A 20,916-nucleotide genomic window follows, 5' to 3' on the forward strand; every position below is an offset into this window, starting at 1 on the left:
GCTGATCTTGTTCTAGAATTTGTGTACATAGCCATCATGCTAGGCTATCTCTGTACATACACGTGGTCTCTCCAACAAGATTATAAACCACTTTATGAACAGCAGTTTCTTCCACACTGCCTAAGCACCTATGGTATTGAGATCATGAAGCTGGAAAGAACCTTAGATGATCAGTGTGAACACCAGCAAGGTTAATCACAGAGCTGAATAATTTTTTAAATTACAGCTTAGTCCTACTACAGTATTATGTTACTATATTGTAATTAGTCTTTCCAATAATGCTAATTAGCTTATGATTTTACATTTTAGTAAATTATCTATTTTTATCCTGCCTGATTTCAGAAGAAAAAAATTCAATTATTTTCCTTCTTTAATTCTTATAGTTCTCTATTTCTCATGTTGGTAGAGGTTTTTAAGATCTTATGAATATCTACCAGTTCCTGAACTGTTGACTGAAGTATATTTGAGAAATTCCTTAATAAGACTGCACTCTCCATTACAGAATAGTCTCGTACTCCTAATTCTCAATAACTATAACATCACCATGCTTCTACAATTCTTCTCTTTAAGCATTTTGTATTCAAAACTGTCTTAAAATTGATGAATTAGGAAAAAGTAGTGATAGATCCAGAATCCAATTAGCATTGCTGCTGACTTATACGAATATGTATTTTGATCCGAATCACAGTTCTTTAGTAAATTTGGATGCAAACTTTAATGATTAAAGAGGACTTTATAAATGTGGTTGACTAAAACACTGTAACACTTAGTACTCCCTTATCTTAGGTCTAAATTACCTAAGGTGAAATTATCTGAGGATAGCACAGTGGGAGGAGTAAAGTTAGGAGAAGTTAAAATTTATACTTATTAACACATTCTTTCAAAATCAAGACACCTTAAAGATTTAATATATACCCAATGCTAAACTAGGCAGTGAGGCTACGGCAGAAAAGATTATCAAACATTTCTATAATCTAAGGACTTCAAATTTGTAATCCATTATTTTAGGATTTTAAGAAGTAGAAAAAATTCTTGTGGTTACTTTCTTTTTTGATGTCAATAATAATTTACACTGTCCATGATATATTAGAACTCATTTTGTATGTGTCTGTGAGAAGAAAAGTTACAATGTACATGGGTATGAGAATATTGTCTTCAAGTTTTAAAATGAGTTTAGTGCCACCAAGTGGTTATGCTATACATAGTACAAAATTAACAAAAAACAAAAGAAAATTTAAAGGTGTACAGCCATTCATTCATTCATTCAAATAATACTTACTGAGCACCTACTACGTGCCAGACATTGTAATAAAGGCTGAACAGTGAATAAGAAAGATGTGGTCCTTGTCCTCCTAAATCTCACATAAAAATAATCTTATATATAGTCAAAGTTCTATTTGAAAGAACTGTAACTCACGTCACAAAAAATCTATTGCAGTATGAATTATTTAGGTAGTTCTCAACTTTAAAAATCTTTAGCTTACCTAAGTGTTCTACTTTAACTCTGGCTTTTAAGATAATTTAAAATAAAGCAGTAGAGTTCAATAATAGAAATGAGGCTAGAGCAGAGGGTCTCAAGTAGGACTGACCCAGAACCTTAAGAGTTTGGTTTGAATTCCTACGCCAGGGTATATAGTCTTTAGTTTATCAGGGCACTTCTACTCTCTACTTCTTACACACAATCCAATTCACACATTCATGATGACAACCTGATACTGAAGGCATTTGATTTTGTAATCCCCAGACTAGAGAATTTCTTTTCAAAGCTTATACAAAAGAAGAGTAGATGTCCAGAGGAATAATATAAAAATAGCTTAAAGTACTGCCTATATAAATTATAGTCAATCAAAAAACAAGCAATGGGGAAAGGATTCCCTATTTAATAAATGGTATTGGGAAAACTGGCTAGCCATATGCAGAAAACTGAAGCTGGACCCCTTCCTTACACCATATATAAAAATTAACTCAAGATGGATTAAAAATTTAAACGTAAGACCTAAAACTATAAAAACTCTAGAAGAAAACCTAGGCAATACCATTCAGGACATAGGTATGGGCAAAGACTTCATGACTAAAACACCAAAAGCAATTGCAACAAAAACCAAAATTGACAAATGGGATCCAGTTAAACTGAAGAGCTTCTGCACAGCAAAAGAAACTATCATCAGAGTGAACGGGCAACCTACAGAATGGAAGAAAATGTTTGCAATCTATCCATCTGACAAAGGCTAATACACAGAATATACAAGGAACTTAAACAAATGCAGAAGAAAAAAATAAACAACCCCATCAGAAAGTGGGCAAAGGATATGAACAGACACTTTTCAAAAGAAGACATTTATGTGGCCAACAAACATATGAAAGAAAGCTCATCATCACTGGTCATTAGTGAAATGCAAATCAAAACCACAACAAGATACCATCTCACGCCAGTTAGAATGGCGATCATTAAAAAGTCAGGAAACAACAGATGCTGGAGAGGATGTGGAGAAACAGGAAAGCTTTTACATTGTTGGTGGGAGTGTAAATTTGTTCAACCATTGTGGAAGACAGTGTGGCAATTCCTCAAGGATCTAGAACCAGAAATACCATTTGACCCAGCAATCCCATTACTGGGTATATACCCAAAGGATTTTAAATCATTCTACTATAAAGAAACATGCACATGTATGTTTATTGCAGTATTGTTCACAATAGCAAAGACTTGGAACCAACCCAAATGCTCGTCAATGATAGACTGGAAAAAGGAAATGTGGCACATATACACCATGGAATACTATGTGGCCATAAAAAAGGATGAGTTCATGTCCTTTGCAAGGACATGGATGAAACTGGAAACCATCATTCTCAGCAAACTAACACAGGAACAGAAAACCAAACACCACATGTTCTCACTCGTAAGCGGGAGTTCAACAATGAGAACGCATGGGCACAGGGAGGGGAACATCACACACCGGGGCTTGTCGGGGGGTTGCGGGCAAGGGGAGGGATAGCATTAGGAGAAATACCTAATGGAGACGATGGGTCGATCAGTGCAGTAAACGACCATGGCACGTGTATACCTATGTAACAAACCTGCACATTCTGCACATGTATCTTAAAGTATACAATATATATATATATTAAGTTAAAAAAATTATTGTCAATCTTCATTGAGTCACAGCTATAGCAATATAAATACATACAATTTTAAATTTTTTAATAGTCAAGGAAAAAGGTTGAGAATGTAACAGTAGCTTTCCCAAGAGAAAGTGATACTGAAAAAAAGTATAAATGTCCTGCTCATGAAGACTCTATAAAGAAAGATACACAGAAAAAAGGGATGAACACCAGAAAAACAAAATAGTAAAGGAAAAAATCATTTTATACTGGAGTATCAGAGAAAGTTTTTTCACAAATGTGAAATTTTAATAGGGGTTTGAAAGCTTGGTAGGAACTAGAGAATAGAGAAGGAAATTCACTTTAAAAAGTGAGAACAGTGTGAACAAAAGAACAAATTAAGATGTTTGATGTGCTTGTTGTTCAAGAGACAATGAGCATATTGGTCATTTGTACTAGTGTGGTTATAGTCATAGTGGGGTTATTCTTTACCTTGTTAAGTCACTGGCCTTGAGTAATTAGGAGTTTACCCAAAGAGTAAGACATTTTGAATATAGAAATAAAATAATCAAAACAGTGGTTCAGAAAGATTCAGTTTAAGTCAATTTACAGGAAGGACTGAAGGCGGCTAAAAGGAGAAATAAGATCAGCCAGGTTCCTACCCTAATAAAAGTATGAAATAATAAAGAGTGGTAGGTTAATATAATACATAAAACCACTATCACACAAACATGCAAGTGAGAAATCTAGGAATTAGAAATATAACTAAAAATAAAATAAGATTTAAAAGAATAAAAGAATATTAATAACAACCGTATGAAATGATTTTGAAAATTTAAGCTGAAATGAAGAAATCTTTTAAAAAAATACATCTTACCAGAACCAACTCAAGAAAAAATAAAGAGCCACAATAGTCCCTTAACTACTGAAATGAAGCAGTATTTTAAAATATTCTCGCAAAGAAAATACCAGGCCTACATGGATATACAGGTCAATTCTACAAAAATTTGAAGAAGTATATCACCTTAATTTTACACAAATTGTTCAAGGCACTAAAAATAAGAGAAAATTCCAACTCATTTCATGAAGCCAGAATAACCTTAATACTAAAACGAGTCAAAGCCATTACAGAAGAAGAAAAATTAAGACACATTTCATTCAAAAATTTAAATGCAAAAACCTAAACAAAATACTACTATATTTAACCCAATAGTGCATAAAAAGAGAATACACCCTGACCAAGTGGGCTTATCCCAGGTTTGGAAGAATGATTTAATATTAGAAAAATCCGAACATAATTAACTGCATTAACCTAGCAAAAGGAAGAAAATACAGAAGATCATCTCAATAGAGGCAGAAAAAGGATTTGAAAAAATTTAATATACTTTCATAATAAACACACTAATTAATAACAGAACATTAAAAATAAAAAAGCTGGAGTAAACATCATCCTAAATGGAGAAATGGTAAGAGGCATTCTCTTTTAAGTTGCAAGTGGTTTTATTGGAGGGTCTTAGCTAGGAACTAAGACAAGAAAAATAAATTAGAGTCAAAAGGATTATAAAGGAGGAAATAAAACTATCATTATTTATACCTGATATGGTCATTTTGATAAAAACACACCCACTCAAGAAAAAAAAACAAATTATTAGTGATAATAGAAAAGTTTAGCAGGATGGCTAAATATAATATTAATAGATGAAAGTGAACTGCCTGTCTTTATGCCAAAGGCAACAACCTAAAAAATAAAACTACCCAAAGAAAACTACTCCAAGTCATATAATAATCAAACTCTCAAAGGTTAAAGACAAAGAGAGGATCCTAAAGGCAGTAAGGGAAAACAAGCAAACAATATCTAAAGGTGCTTCAATTCATCTAGCAACGGGGTTCTCAACAGAAACCATACAGGCCAGGAGGGAGTGGGATGAAATTTTCAAATTCTAAAAGAAGAAAAAAAAAACACCATCCAAGAATACTCTCTCCAGCAAAGCTATCCGTCAAATATGAATGAGAAGTAAAGTCTTTCCCATACAAAAGCTGAGAGAAGTGGCCACAACGAGACTTGTTTTATGAGAAATGCTAAGGGCACTTCTTCAATCTGAACAGAAAAAAACACTAATGCGCAAAACCAAAACATTTTAAGGTCTAAAATCCACTGGTAAAAGTAAATACACAAAGAAACCCAGAATAATATTGTCACTATGGTATGCAGTCTGCTCATAACTCTGATATAAAGCCCAAAAGACAAATCTACCCCAAACAGCAATACCAATAGCAACCTGTTGAAACAGACAATATAAGAAATACGTATATTGACAAAACACAAAGTCAAAATATAAGGGGTAAAAAGTTAAAGTGTAGAGTTTTTTTCTTTGCTTCTATTCTTTTCTTTATAATCTAAGTTGTTACCTCTTTATAATAACATGTCATATGTATATGTTTTGTAAGCTTCATGGTAACCGCAATGCAAAAACCTGTAATAGATTCACTAAAAATAAAAAACAACAAATTAAAACATACAACCTGAGAAAATTTCTTAACAACAAAGGAAGACTGTAAGAATGGAAGAGACCAATTACAAAACAACCAGAAAACAAGCAACAAAATGGGAGTAATAAGTCCTCACTTATCAATAATAACACTGAATGTAAATAGGCTCAATTCTTCAATTAAAAGGCATAGAGTCTCTGAGTTCATAAAGATATAAAACCCCATAATATGGTGGGTACAAATAACCCACCGCATCTATAAAGATATATAGACCAAAAGGGAAAGGGTGGAAGAAGATATTCTGTGCAACTGGAAACCAAAAAAAAAAAAAAAAAAAAAAAAAGAACAGGAGTACTATCCTTATATCAGATAAAATAGACTACAAAGCAAAGACTATAAAAACAGACAGAGAAGGTCACTACATAATGATAAAGGGGTCAATCTAGCAAGAGAATATAACAATTATAAATATGTATACGCCTAACACCTGAGTTCCCAAGTGTATAAATATAAAGCAAGTGTTTATAGATCTAAAGCAAATACTACTATCTACTCTCTCTGACAGATCATGCAAACAGAAAACCAACAAAGAAACATCAGAGGTTAACTACAGACTAAACCAAATAAACCTAACTGACATTTACAGAACATTTCACCCAACTGCTGCAAAATACACATTATTTTCACTATTTTCATCAGCATATGGATATCCAGCATACACCGAGGATAGACCATGTTAGTCCACAAAACAAGTTCTCAATAAATCACTGAATAATATGATTTATAGTAAAATAACATACCAAGTTTCTCTTCAGACCACAATGGAATAAAACTAGAAATCAATAATAGAAACCTTGGAAACTACACAAACACATAGAGATTAAACAACATGTTACTAAATGATGAATAGGCCAATAAAGAAAATAAGAAAAAAATTTAAAATGCATTGAAACAAATAAAAATGGAAATACAGCATACCAAAATCTATGAGATATGGCAAAAGCATACTAAGAGGGAAATTCATAGCGAAAATATCAAAAAAGTAGAAAGACTCCAAATAAACCACCTAATTATATACCCCAAGGAACTAGAAAAGCAGGAACAAACCAAACCCAAAATTATTAGAAGGAAAGAAATAATAAAGATCAGAGCAGAAATCAATGAAATCGAGACTTAAAAAAACAATATTAAGATCAAGGAAATGAAAAATCTTCAGGAAAGGTAAACAAAATTGACAAACCTTTACCCAGGCTAAGAAAAAAGAAAGACGATCCAAATAAATAAAATCAGAAACAAAAAAGGACACATAACATCTGAAATCACAGTAATACAAAGAATCATTAGAAACTATTATGAACAGCTATATACAAAAAAATTGGAAAACCTAGAAATGGACAAATTCCTAGATACATACAACCTACCAAGACTGAACCAGGAAGGAATAAAAAAATCTAAAGAATCTAATAACAAGTAATGAGATCAGAGCCATAATTAAAAGTAAAGCAAAGCCCAGGATGTGACAACTTCATTACTAAATTCTACTCAACATTTAAAGAAGAATGAATGCTAATTTTACTCAAACTCTTCAAAAAAATTGAAGAAGAAGGAATGCTTTCCAACCCATTCTACAAAATCAGCATTATTCTGATACCAAAACCAGGCAAGGACACAACAAAAAAACTACAGACCAGTATCACTGATGATAATAGATGCAAAAATCTTCAACCAAATAGTAACAAACCAAATTCAAAAGTAACAAACCAAATTAAATAATACCACATTAAAAAGATTATTTACCTAATGGGTGCAGCACACCAACATGGCACATGTATACATATGTAACAAACCAAACCTGCACGTTGTGCACATGTACCCTAGAACTTAAAGTATTAAAAAAAAAAAAAAAAAAAAGGTCATTTACCTTGATTAAGTAAGAGTCATCCAGGGATGCAAGATGGTTCAATATGTGCTAATCAATAAATGTGATACCAAGAAAAAAACTACCTAATTATTTCAACAGATGCTGAAAAAGCATTTGATAAAATTTAACATGCCTTTATGACAAAAACCCTCAATACACTGGATATGGAAGGTACATACCTCAACACAATAACAGCCACATAAAACAGACTCACAGCTAATATCATACTGAATTTAAAAAAAGTTAAAGTCTTAGGCCGGGCACCGTGGCTCACGCCTGTAATCACAGCACTTTGGGAGGCCGAGGCGGGCAGATTACGAGGTCAGGAGATCAAGACCATCCTGGCTAACACGGTGAAACCCTGTCTCCACTAAAAATACAAAAAATTAGCTGGGCATGGTGGCGGACGCCTGTAGTCCCAGCTACTCGGGAGGCTGAGGCAGGAGAATGGCGTGAACCGGGAGGCGGAGCTTGCAGTGAGCCGAGATCGCGCCACTGCACTCCAGCCTGGGCGACAGAGTGAGACTTCATCTCAAAAAAAAAAAAAAAAACCACAGTCTTTCCTCTAAGATCAGGAACAAGACAAGGATGATCATTTTTACCATTTTATTCAACGTAATATTGCAAGTCCTGCCTAGAGCAACCAGGCAAGAGAAGGAAATAAAAGGCATCCAAACTGGAAAGGAAGAAATAAAATTAGCACTGTTCATAGCTGACATAATCTTAGAAAAACCTAAAGACCACCAAAAAACTCTTGGAACTGATAAACGAGTTCAGTAAAGTTGCAGGATATAACCAAGCACAGTAGCTCACACCTGTAATCTCAGCACTTTGGGAGGCTGAGGCAGGAGGAATGCTTGAGCCCAGGAGTTTAAGACCAGCTGGTCAACATAATGAGACCCTGTCTCTACAGAAAATTCTAAAAATTAGCCACCTGTGCTAGTGCACACTTGTAGTCTTAGCTACTCGGGAGGCTGAGGCAGGAGGATTGCTTGAGCCCAGGAGCACAAGGTTATAGTGAGCTATGATTGTGCTACTTCACTCCAGACAGAGCAAGACCCTGTCTCAAAAACAAAAAAGTTGAAGAATATAAAATCAGCATACAAAAATCAGCTGCTATTATATATGCCAACAGTGAATCTGAAAAAGAAATTAAGAAAAAAATCCTATTTAAAAGAGCTACAAAGAATATAAAGTAGGCCAGGTGCAGTGGCTCAAGCCTGTAATCCCAGTACTTTGGGAGCCCAAGGCGGGCAGATCACTTGAGGCCAACCTGGCCTCAAGTTTGAGACCAACCTGGCCAACATGGCAAAATCCTATCTCTACTAAAAATACAAAAATTAGCCTGGCATGGTGGCACATGCCTGTAATCCCAGCTACTCAGGAGGCTGAGGCACAAGAATAGCTTGAACCTGGGAGGCAAGGTGGAGATGAGCCAAGATCGTGCCACTACATTCCAGCCTGGGTGACCTAGTGAGACTATGTCTCAAAAAAAAAATAATAATCTAAAATACCTAAGAATCAATTTTACCAAAGAAGTGCAAGATCTATACAAGGACAAGTATAAAGCACTGATGAAGAGTTCACCAAAAACTGGATATTCCATCCTCATGAACTGGAAGAATTAATATTGTTAAAATGACAATTCTACTGAAAGCAATGGACAGATTCAATGCACTCCCTATCAAAATACCAACGGCATTCTTCATAGAAACAGAAAAAGCAATCCCAAAATTTATACGGAACACAAAAGACCCGAGATGGCCAAAGCAATCCTGAGCAAAAAGAACTAAACTGGAAGAATCACATTATCTGACTTCAAAATAGACTACAAAGCTATAATAACCAAATCAACAGGATTCTAGCATAAATACAGACACATAGACCAATGGAACAGAATAGAGAATCCAGATATAACTCCATGCATTTACAGATAAATCATTTTCAACAAAGGTGCCAAGAATATACAATAGAGAAAGGGTAGTTCCTCCAATAAATGGTTCTGGGAAAACTGGATAACCATTGCAGAAAAAAGAAACTAGATCCCAGTGTCCCACCGTACACAAAAATCAAATCAAAATGGATTAAAGACTTAAATATAAGACTTGAAATTATGAAGCTACTATAAGAAAACATTGGGGAAAATCTCCAGAACACTGGTCGGGGCAAAAATTTTTTAGTAAGACCTCAAAAAGCACAGACAACAAAAGCAAAAATAAATGAATAGGATTACATCAAACTAAGAAGCTTCTGCATAACAAAGGAACCAATCAACAAAGTAAAGCGACAACCCACAGAATGGGAGAAAATATTTGCAAACTACCCATCTTATAAAGGATTAACGACCAGGATATATAAGAAGCTCAAGCAACTCAACAGGAGAAGATAAAAAAAATCAGATTTAAAAATGGACAGAAGATCTGAATAGACATTTCTCAAAAGACATACAAATGGCCAACAGGTATATAAAAAAATACTCAACATCATTAATCATCAGAGCAATGCAAATCAAAACCGCAATGTTATCATCTCACCCAAGTTAAAATGGCTTTTAACAAAAAGGGAATGACAGATAAGTGGTGAGGATGTGGAGAAAGGGGAACCCTCATAAACACTATTGGTAGAAATGTAAATTAGTATAGCTACTATGGAAAACTGTATGGAGGTTATGCAAAACTAAAAAATGAACTATTGTATAATCCAGCAATCCACTACTGGGTATACAGATCCGAAAGAAGGGAAATAAATATATCAAAGAGATATCTGCACTCCTTGTTTTTATTATGGCACTATTAATAATAGCCAAAATATATAATCAACTTAAGTGTCCATCAATGGATGAATGGATAAAGAAAATGTAGTATATACATACAATGTGAGATTATTCAGCCATAAAAAAGAATGAAATCCTGTTATTTGGAGCAATATGGAAATGGAGGTCATTATGTTAAATGAAATAAGCCAAGCACAGAAAGACAAATATCTCATGTTCTCACTCACATGTGAAAGCTAAAACAGCAAATCTTCAGGATAGAAAGTAGACTGATGGTTGCCAGAGGCTGGGAAGGGTGGGGTGGTGAAGAGGATGAAGGGAGTTTCATTAATAGGTACAAATATACAGTTTAACAGAAGAAAGAAGACCTAGTGTTTGACAAATCAGTAGGGTGCCTATTGTTTACAATAATCTATCATATATTTCAAAATAGCTATAAGAGGATAATTTGAATGTTTCTAGCATAAAGACAAATATTTAAGGTGACTGATATCCCAATTATACTAATTTGATCTTTATAAATTATGTGAAGGTATTAAATTATCACATGTATCCCCAAAATATGTACATCTACTATGTATCAATAAATTTTTTTTAAAAAAAGCATAATTAACCCCATTGAAAAATAACATAAACAAGAATTTCACAGAGGAAATACATATGGCCACTAAGCACATGAAGGGCATTTCAACATGATTAGTGATCAGGGAGACATAAGCCAAGACAAAAATGAAGTAGCATTTTGGAACCAATTAGCTGACAAAAATTTAAAAGCCTAGCAATGCCACGTGTTATAATATGTGGCTTTGTAACAACTCCTACACATTGCTAGTGGAAATGCAAATTTGAACAGCTACTTCAGAAAACGTTTGGATATTTCCTTCAAAAGTTGCACATTTACATATTAGATGAAATACTCATTCTACTTCTAGGTATACACCAGGAGAAACTTGCACATGTACAAAAAATGTTTACAGCAACACAATTCACAGTAACTCAAATTGAAAACCCAAAGAACAAACTACAGAAGATTAAGTAAACTGTAGCATGTTAGTGCAGCTGGTATCATATAGCATGCAAAATAAATGAACTATCATAATAAACTTATGGATGAATCTTAACAATATAATATTAAGTGAAAAAAGTAGGCCAGGCTTAATGGTTCACATCTGTAATCCCAGCACTTTGTGAGGGCAAAGATGGGAGAATCATTTGAGTCTAGGAGTTAGAGACCAGCCTGAGTAACATAATGAGATTCTGTCTCTACCAAAAATATAAAAAATTAGCAGGGTATGGTGGTGTGCATCTGTAGTCCCAGCTACTCAGGAGGCTGAGGCAGGAGGTTGAGGCTACAATGAGCTGTGATCATGCCACTGCACTCCAGCCTGGGTGACAGAGCGAGATCCTGTCTCCAAAAAAAGAAAAAAAAAAACACTCCCAAAATGTATATAGAGCACGATACTTTTTATCAAGTTAAAATTTTATTTACAAACACCTTTTTCAGGATTACAAAAAATACATAAAAAGAAAATGATAAACAGAATTCAACATAAGGGTTACACTGGATGGAGAGAGGGAAGACGAGAAGTACATTGAACGATGGGTGGGACAGAAGGAAGTAACATAGATAAAGTTTATTTCAGCGGTAAGTTCTTAGGCACTTACTTTGTTTCTTAAAATAATCAAATAAATAAAAGGAGACCATGAATAAACCAATCATATATATGTGTTATTAACCAAGGATTCTTATAATCCCATTCTGGGTACCTTAAGAGCAACTTTTTAGGAAAAAAGAAAAACAGCCATCATCATAATGTCATCCTCCTCCGTCCTCACATCTAATCTATTACACATTAAAGGTGGTAATACTTTATCTCTAAATTCTATTCACATCTGTCTTTACTTCCAGTTTTTTGTTTACTATCACATGGACTTCTGCAAAAGCCTCCTAACTTACATCTACTCTTGTCCTACACTACTTCTCAAATGCATTCCCAACACTGGAGCCAAAATGGCCTCTTCTAAATGAAAATCTGTTCATGACACTCTTCTTAGAACACTTCAGTAACTTTCTATTACTCTAAAGATAAAGACAAAAGTCTCAATCACAGCCTAAAATACCCTGTAAGATCTGACCTCTGTCTGCATCTGTAGGCTAGAGTACATAAATTTTATCTAGGCTCATGACCACCTGGAATGAAGACAACTTTCTTAGTGTCCTCTACTGCTAACTCAAATGACTGAGTTTTGGCCAGAGACAAGCATACATGTGACACAGGCAAATTCTATAAAAGGGAAAGGAGTGTGCTTTCCCCTTCCTCCTGTCTGAATACGGAATTGAGAAAGAATGGCTGAAGCCCCAGAAATCATCTTGGACCATGAAATAACCTTTGGAATAGAAAACATACACAAAGGAGCAAAACAAAAGAGCCTGGAGCCTTGACAGCTCTTGAATATTAAAAAAAAAAAAAAAAAAAAAAAAACCACCTATTTCTTATAAACTATTGTTTTTTTTATGCCTATGCCTAACTGTACCTAATATCCTGGCTAACATATTTCCTGTTCTGCTTCATATCTCAGGACATCTCCCCTTTGCTCTGCACAGTTCAGCTACATTGGTCTTCTTCCTGTACCTTTTACTAGTCTTACTCACTTTTGCTATAAAGCTGTAATTAATCTGGAATGATCCTGAACCTCTCTCCCCTAGTTAATACCTACTTAACCTTTAGATTTCAGCTGAACTGTCACTTACTCAGAGAGGCTTTCTCTCTGACAAGGTGAAGTCCCACTTTTATGACTATAGTAAAGAAATTAACCTTGCCCAAAGAGAGGTCTGGGCTTTGCCCTTGGTTCCTGGGAGATGAGTTCTAAGTCCTTGAATGCCTAAGAGTCTTTGTTTACCTGAGAGCTTTGGGCCACACTGATAGTCTAATAATGTGACTTAGGGTGGGGGTATTGGGTCAAGATTATCAGCTCAACCTCCTGTGGGGCTGGAGACTAAGGTCCAGCCACATGGGTGGCCAACCAGGTCTATGTGACCAAGGCCCACTAAAAACTTTGGACACCAAGAATCGGAGGGGGTTCCTTGGATGGCAATACTCTGCATATTGTCACATAGCATTGCCAGAATAGTGAGCACTGTCTGTGACACTACTGGGAGAAGACAACTGGAAGCTCTGCACATGGAACTTTCCTGAACTCTACCCCATGTGGCTCTTCCCTTGGCTAATTTTAATCTATATTCCTCTGTTGTAATAAGCCATAATCATGAGTATAGCAGCTTTCAGTAACGTCTATGAGTCTTCTAACCAATTATAGAACCTGAGGATGATCTGGGGATCCCCCCACCACAAACCTGCAATGCTGTCAGAGGTGAAGGTGGTCTTGGTCGAACTCTACAGTTGGTGTTCAAAGTGAGGGTAGTTTTGTGGACAGTTCCTAAACTTCGTAATATAGTCCTCATTTCACTCCATTCAGCACTTATCATCATTGTAATTTAACATTTAATTGATTAATATCAATTGCTTCCACGAAACTCTAAGCATATTTGAGGGCAGGAATCATGGCACTTTTTCATTCTCCAAGCACCACAGTATCTGGCACATTGTAGGTATTCAGTCATTCTTTCCTGAAAGACTGAACACATGGAGTCACACAAATCCAGTACCACTGCAGCATGATTTTAAGCAAGTAAATCACACCTCAGCTCTCTCATCAGTGAAATAACAAGACTACAATATTTTGCAGAGGGAGAACAGTTATCAAAATTTCATTTCTGGATCCTTATATACAAATTGCAATTACTAGGATATATTTCTTTCCTCAATATTTTATTAACCAATGATACACAGACACACACACACACGCAACCCCCTTGAATTAGAGTATATGATCAGCACAAAATAGCCAGTGTTACCTCTCTATATTGAGGTAATCCCATTATAAATGCCATTTAGTTAATCTGTATAACCTTATCAAATAAATATGATTTCATTAAATTTTTTCAAATTTCTGAAAATACTCCAGACATCCTGGATTGGAAATTATTACTGTAAGCCCTTGAAACCTAAAATCAACTATTACATATTGATGTAATATATATTATAACTCTCCTAGCATAGGCTTATAGGAGGCATATACTAAAAAGACTGACAGATATTAATGGGGAATTATTGACCTGTCAGTTTAATATGAACGTTAGCAAAATAAAGTACCAAAACAATGATATGGGGAATCACTAATCTGAGACTTTCATAAACACAACTGGAATAATACAAATGTAACACAGAACTAAAAAATATCAAGGGACTCCAGAAATTATAAATTCATACTCTACTATCATTTTTTTCTTTCTTTATAGAGTACTTTCTTATACCTTAAAAGTAGCTAGGTCTCTATAAATCAGACATCATTAGTATCTTAGTGTTAGTAAATTCTAGCACTGTTTAATAGTAATATTCTTAGAGATGAACGGTTCGGTCTGCATTTATTGGATACCTACCACGTACCAAGGACTGAATATAAAAACAAAATCCCTAACTCCCAGGTTTACAGTTTAGTGTGGAAGAAACACAATTAATTAATTTACTGATACAGTCTCTAAATTTGTCCCTGCCCAAACCTCATGTTGAAATGTAATCCCCAATGCTGAAGGTGGGGCCTGGTGGGAGGTGTTTGGATCATGGGGGTGGATCCCTTATGAATGGCTTAGGCCATCCCCTTGGTGTTAAGTGAGCTGTTGCTCAAAATCTGATCATTTAAAAATGTGTGCCCCACTCTCTCTTTCTCTCTTGCTCCAGCTCAGCCATGTGAGATGTCTGTTCCTACTTTGCCTACCACCATGAGTAAAAGCTTCCTGAGGCCTCCCAAGAAGCCGAGCAGATGCCAGCACCAGGCTTCCTATAAAGCCTGCAGAACTGTAGGTCAATTAAACCTTTTCTTTATAAATTACCCAGTCTCAGGTATTTCTTTATAGCAATGCAAGAATAACCTAACACAAATATACACAAACATACATGGGAAAAAAATCTGTAAAAATATAAATTGTTTTCAGTGGTTATGTCTAAAGCAGAGATTACAAGACACTTTTATTTTCTACAGCATCCACTTTATAATGTTTAAATTTTTATAATGGCATATATGCTTATATACATTGAAAAAATAAAAACATTTTTAAAAAGGAGAAAAATCACCTCACAGACTTTTAAACTCATCTGTCCCCTAGCTTTTCTCTACTACGTAGATCTTAAAATTTACAAACAACTGTGGATTTAAAATTATAGTTACTATATGTATAATGATATATAAGCACAAAAATATTATACAAATGGACTATTTGGATTTTTTGTTTTGTTTTTGAGACAGGTCTTGCTCTGCTGACCAGGCTGGAGTACAGTGGCATGACCATAGCTTACTGCAGCCTCAACCTCCTGGGCTCAGGCAATCCTCCCACCTCAGCCTCCAGAATAGCTAAGACTACAGGCGTGTGCTACCAAGTCTGGCTAACTTTTTATTTTTTTTAGAGACAGGGTCGCCCTATATCGCCCAGGCTGGTCTCAAACTCCTGGGCTCAAGTGATCCTCCCACCTCAGCCTTCCAAAATGATAGGATTACAAACATGAGCCACCATGCCCGACCAGATTATTTAGACTAGGGAAATAATTAGAAACTCAAAATGTTGACTACTAAAAGATTAATTAATTAAATTACAGGATATTTATACCAAGAACACTAAAGGAGGCAGTGTTGTGATCAGGTTAATAGTACAGACTTCAGAGCCACAGTGCCTGGGTTTGCACCCTAGCTCTGCCACTGACTAGCTACATAACATGATCAAGTTTCTTATCTTCTCTAGGACTCGGTTTCCACATCTGTAAAATGATGAGAAGCCTGCAAAACCAGATAATTGTTGTAAGGGATCAGATTAATAATTTTAAATATTAAATATATTTAAATATAATAATTTATATATTTATAGAATATATAAATAATTAAATTTATATATAAATTTATAATTTTTGTATATTTAAATTTAAAATATAATCATTTTAAATATATAAAAGTACTTAGTAAGCTTTCAATAAATGTTAACTAATATTTATTATGTGTTGTGAAATGAAACAAAGTCAAACTTTCATTACTAAGTAAAAAAAAACAAAATATTTTGCATAATAATCCAATTTTAGCAAACAAAATTATAAGGAAAACATGTTAGCATATGAACAGAAAATGTGGGAGGAAGTATGACATATGGAGTCACAAACCTGGGTTTTATACTTGGAGTTCTGGATGTACTACATATTATCTCTGTGATCTCAGGCAAATAATTTTTCTAGGCCTCAATTTCTTCATTTGTGAAATGAAGACAACAACCTCATGGGCTTGTTGCAAATATTAAATAATATACCCAAATTACAATATCTGGCACACAACAAGAGAGGTAAATGTTGCCTACTGTTTGTATTATTACTATTATTATTATTATAGTTGTTGAGGATGCCTCTCTTGTTAACCATTATATATGTAGTATCTAAAACAATGCCTAGCAAAGTAGGTGCTCAATGATTACTTGTTGATTAAATGGATGAGTCAAACTGTTAAAAGGTTAGTAGAGATGGGTGTGGGATTACAAGGATATTCATGTTCATCACTATATTTATATTGCTGTAATGTTAAGTTCTGCTATCAGAAAAAAAACAAATGATACATTTTTAACTACACTATAAAAAACCCTATTTTCCTTAAAGTAAAAGCAAGAAGTTCTAATTTCTCTAAGAATACTCAATTCAAAAAAGTCAGAGGAAAATGGAAAGCAGCAATAAAATAAAAGAAAAAAGAAAACAAGTTACTTAGTAGCAAAAGCTTTATCTCAAGGGCAGTAATGAGAATAAGCAGTTTTATTTTCCACCTTTCTAAAGGTTAATCAGACTATTCTAAGCAAGTTTTTGGGTCTCAGAAATAAGTGCAATTTTCAAACAAATGCAATCAAAGTATTATCTATGGCTCTCTAAGAATCCCTAAGACCCTTTTCAAGGAGTTTGTGAGCTCAAAATGGTTTCCATTGTAATTCTAAGACAGTTTTTGCCTTTTCCTCTTCTTTTCCATCTGCACTGTTGGCACAAAAGCAACAGTGTGTAAAACTGGTGGTATTTTAGCATGAATCTAGGCAATGACATTAAACTATTTCACTGACATACATAAGAGTTTTAAAAAAAGAAAACAAAAGCAAGTTTTACTAAAAAAAAGTCTTTGATAAAGCAGTAAAACTTATTTTTATCAAATTTTGACCTTGGAGTACAAGTCTCAAGTCTTTAATATTCTGTGGAATGAAATAGGAAGTACAAATAAAGAACTACTGCTGTATACCAAGATATGCTAGTTATCTTGAAGAAAGTACTTCAGCAATTGATTTGTAAGCTAAATTGTTAGCTTTTTCCCTTGGAACATCATTTTTGCTTGAAAGAACAAACGAGAGACAAATGTGGTTTTCCAGACAAGGATATCTGGCACATATTTTCTTAAAAATGAGTTAAATCAGTCTGTGGCTTTGTGAACAAACACCTAATAATATTTGTTGTTGTTGATAAAATTTGAATTTTCAAGTGAAAATTTAAAAATTAGAAGTTTGTAAAACTTAGATCTCCCACTGTGAGCTTAAAAGGTTTGCTATGGGTAATTTAACTTCTCAACAATATCATATCTAATGTGTCAACACTTAGAAGACATTCATAAAACGGTAAATGTACAATGTTACAAAATCATACAGGAATAAAAGATCCATTTGAAGGGCAACATAATCCAAAGGATTTTACCATAACAAAGTACAAATTTTACATTACAACTAACCTTTGAGAAAGCAATACTTTTAAAGCGTTGACATACTGTCAAAGAATATATTTACCTGAAAAAGATAATATTTCTCTTTTTCCAACTACACATCTGTGTGAGACAGAACTTTTTTTATTGATTTCAACCAAAAGCAAAACAAAACGAAAACATTGCAACAGACTGAATGAAGAAGCAGATAGGATCCAGCTGTGCTATTAAGGCAGACATTTAAAAGATTTGCAAAAATGTAAAACAATGCAATCTTCTAGCTAATTTTTTGGTAACTATAGTTATTTTTCATTAAAAAATGTTATCGATGTTAACATGTAACAAGTTTATTGTTGTTACTTTCAAATCTATTCATAATTCTTTTTTTCTTATTTTTTTGAGACAGGGTCAAGCTCTGTTGCCCAGGCTGGAGTGTAGTGGTATGAACATATCTCACTCAGCCTCCATATCCTGGGCTCATGCAGTGTTCCCACCTCAGCCTCCCAAGTAGCTGGGACCACAGGCACGCCACCACCACGCCCAGCTAATTTATTTTTTTGTTTTTGTTTTATAGAGACGGGTCTCTTCAGGTTTCCCAGGCTGGTGTCAAATTCCTGGGCTCAGCCAGGCACAGTGACTCACGCCTGTAATCCCAGCACTTTGGGAGGCCAAGGCGGGTGTATCACCTGAGAGGTCAGGAGTTTGAGACCAGCCTGGCCAACATGGTGAAACCCCATCTCTACTAAAAATACAAAAATAGCCTGGTGTGGTGGTATGTGCCTGTAATCCTAGCTTCTTGGGAGGCTGAGGCAGGAGAACGGCTTGAACCTGGGAGGTGGAGGTTGCAATGAGCCTCGCACCATTGCACTCTGGCCTGGGCGACAGAGCAAGACTCTATCTCAGAAAAAGAAAAAACAAATTCCTGGGCTCAAGGGATCCTCCTGCCTCGGCCTCCCAAAGTGCTGGGATTACAGTTATAAGCCACCATGCCTGGCGTAAATATTATTAAAATGTTTCAGTTTTAATGTCTAATATGGCAAACATTGATAGATAATCCCAGAAACAAAAGCTCTTTTGAGATGTCAATAATTTTTAAGACTGTAATTGGAGATGTCAATAATTTTTAAGAGTGTAAGAGTTTGAGGACTACTACACTAGTAGCAAACAGTAGTAAACTAGAGTCTTGTTTATAAAAAGGGTTGCTCTTGAGACTTTTCAGAGTATCCAAGGACCATACCTGCTTAGCAAAAAATATCGTGTCAAGTCGGGAGTCCTGAACCACAGAGCCTGCTGGTTCTTCTCCTGGCTGCCACTTGAAAAGAAAAATTAACCCATGAACTGGCCTACAAAATAAAATACAAATTAATGACATCAAACCCTGCTTCTTTCATAATACATTGTTAATCTATAAAATTTTAGTCAGTTATCTAACAAATATAATACAAATGAAGTAAATATGGGAAATTTTTAAAAGATCACTATTGCCATTCATAGTTACTAGACTGTTGCCTTAGAAGATGCTAATACAACTTAAAATTATATCAGTTAAAATAAAATTGTAGTGAAAGGTTTATTCTCAAATCTGTAGACTATTCATTTCTACCTGATATTACCTCACTTAAAAAATAAGAATATAGTAAAACCAGAAGCTGGCTGAACTCCAAAATATATAAAGTTCATGTAACATGTTTATAGATAAACGGTTGATAGCATATATTATCTATATTAAATATAGGAAGTAACCTTCATATATTATTGGATTCATGAAAAATCCTCATATTGCAGTATGAATTGATGCTACCATCTCATACATAATGAAATCATCCACTTTCCTAAAGGAACTGTTTTTGAGCACAAAACATTAAATCACTACTTTGAAATTCCTTCTAGTCTATCTATCACAACTGCCTCCCACCCCACAAAAAACTTTTCCTATCCTCAGGGCTGGGCATGGTGTCTCAAGCCTGTAATTCCAGCACTTTGGGAGGCTAAGGTAGGTAGATTACTTGAGGCCAGGAGTTCGAGACCAGCCTGGACAACATAGTGAAACCACATCTCTACTAAAAAAACAAAAACAAAACAAAAAAATTAGCCAGGCATGGTGAAGCGTGCCTGTAATCCCGGCTACCTGGGAGGCTGAGGCAGAAAAATCACTTGTACCCGGGAGGCAGAGACTGCAGTGAGCCGAAATCGCACCACTGCACTGCAACCTAGATGACAGAGTGAGACTGTTTCAAAAAGAAAAAGAAAAAAAAAAAAAGGTTTCCTATCTTTTTATTTGATTCAATTTTATTTTAGACATGGGGTCTCACTATGTTGCCTGGGCTAGACTTGAACTCCTGGGCTCAAGCGATCTTCTCGCCTCAGCCTCCTGAGTAGCTACAACTACAGGCATATGCCACCATGCCTGGCTCCCATTTTTTAAAGACAGTTCAAATGATCCATTTTTAATTAACCTTCCCTGATCTTAGCCACAAATGATCTCATTTCATCTAAAGTGATTGCTCTTTTTACAGGGAAGAGAAAGGTAGGAAGAAGCAAACTACCTATCACCTTCTTACTATTAACAACAGTTAGCATATTCCTAAGTCCCTATTTTCCCTTTTAAAAGATTCCCTGACCCCATTCCAGACTCCAAGACTCCCACCAGTGAAAATTCCTCTAGCCCTCCATTTGAAGATACAGGGTCAATGTTTGAGGGCATGGTAGTCAGGGGTAAGGAGAAGTTAAAAGAGGTGATTCTGGTCAGAAAGATGGGGGAAGGAGAAAAGTTGTTTCTGGCATCAACATTTGGAACTTTAAATATAACTTTCCCAGA

The 20,916-nt window shown here is 35.0% G+C and overlaps 1 protein-coding gene across 40 annotated transcripts in view; it reads right to left on the reverse strand.

Moving 5' to 3' along the window:
- Nucleotides 1-20,916, reverse strand: part of UCHL5 (ubiquitin C-terminal hydrolase L5) — a 47,823-nt gene that overhangs the window by 18,157 nt on the left and 8,750 nt on the right. For 36 of the 40 annotated variants that reach the window (NR_146930.2, NR_146931.2, NR_037607.2 and 33 more), the window contains exon 3: nt 19,336-19,441. Coding sequence is in view for 30 of the 40 variants with exons in the window: in NM_001350844.2 (NP_001337773.1) it covers nt 19,336-19,441 (106 nt within the window). In the remaining 10 variants the exon portion in view is untranslated. Of the gene's footprint in view, nt 1-13,638; nt 13,920-19,335; nt 19,442-20,916 lie in introns of those variants that run through there. The other 4 variants (XM_047422360.1, XM_047422366.1, XM_047422371.1 and 1 more) reach the window with 4 other exon arrangements.

Source organism: Homo sapiens, chromosome 1 (genome assembly GCF_000001405.40).
Source record: "Homo sapiens chromosome 1, GRCh38.p14 Primary Assembly".
Lineage (NCBI taxonomy): Eukaryota > Metazoa > Chordata > Mammalia > Primates > Hominidae > Homo > Homo sapiens.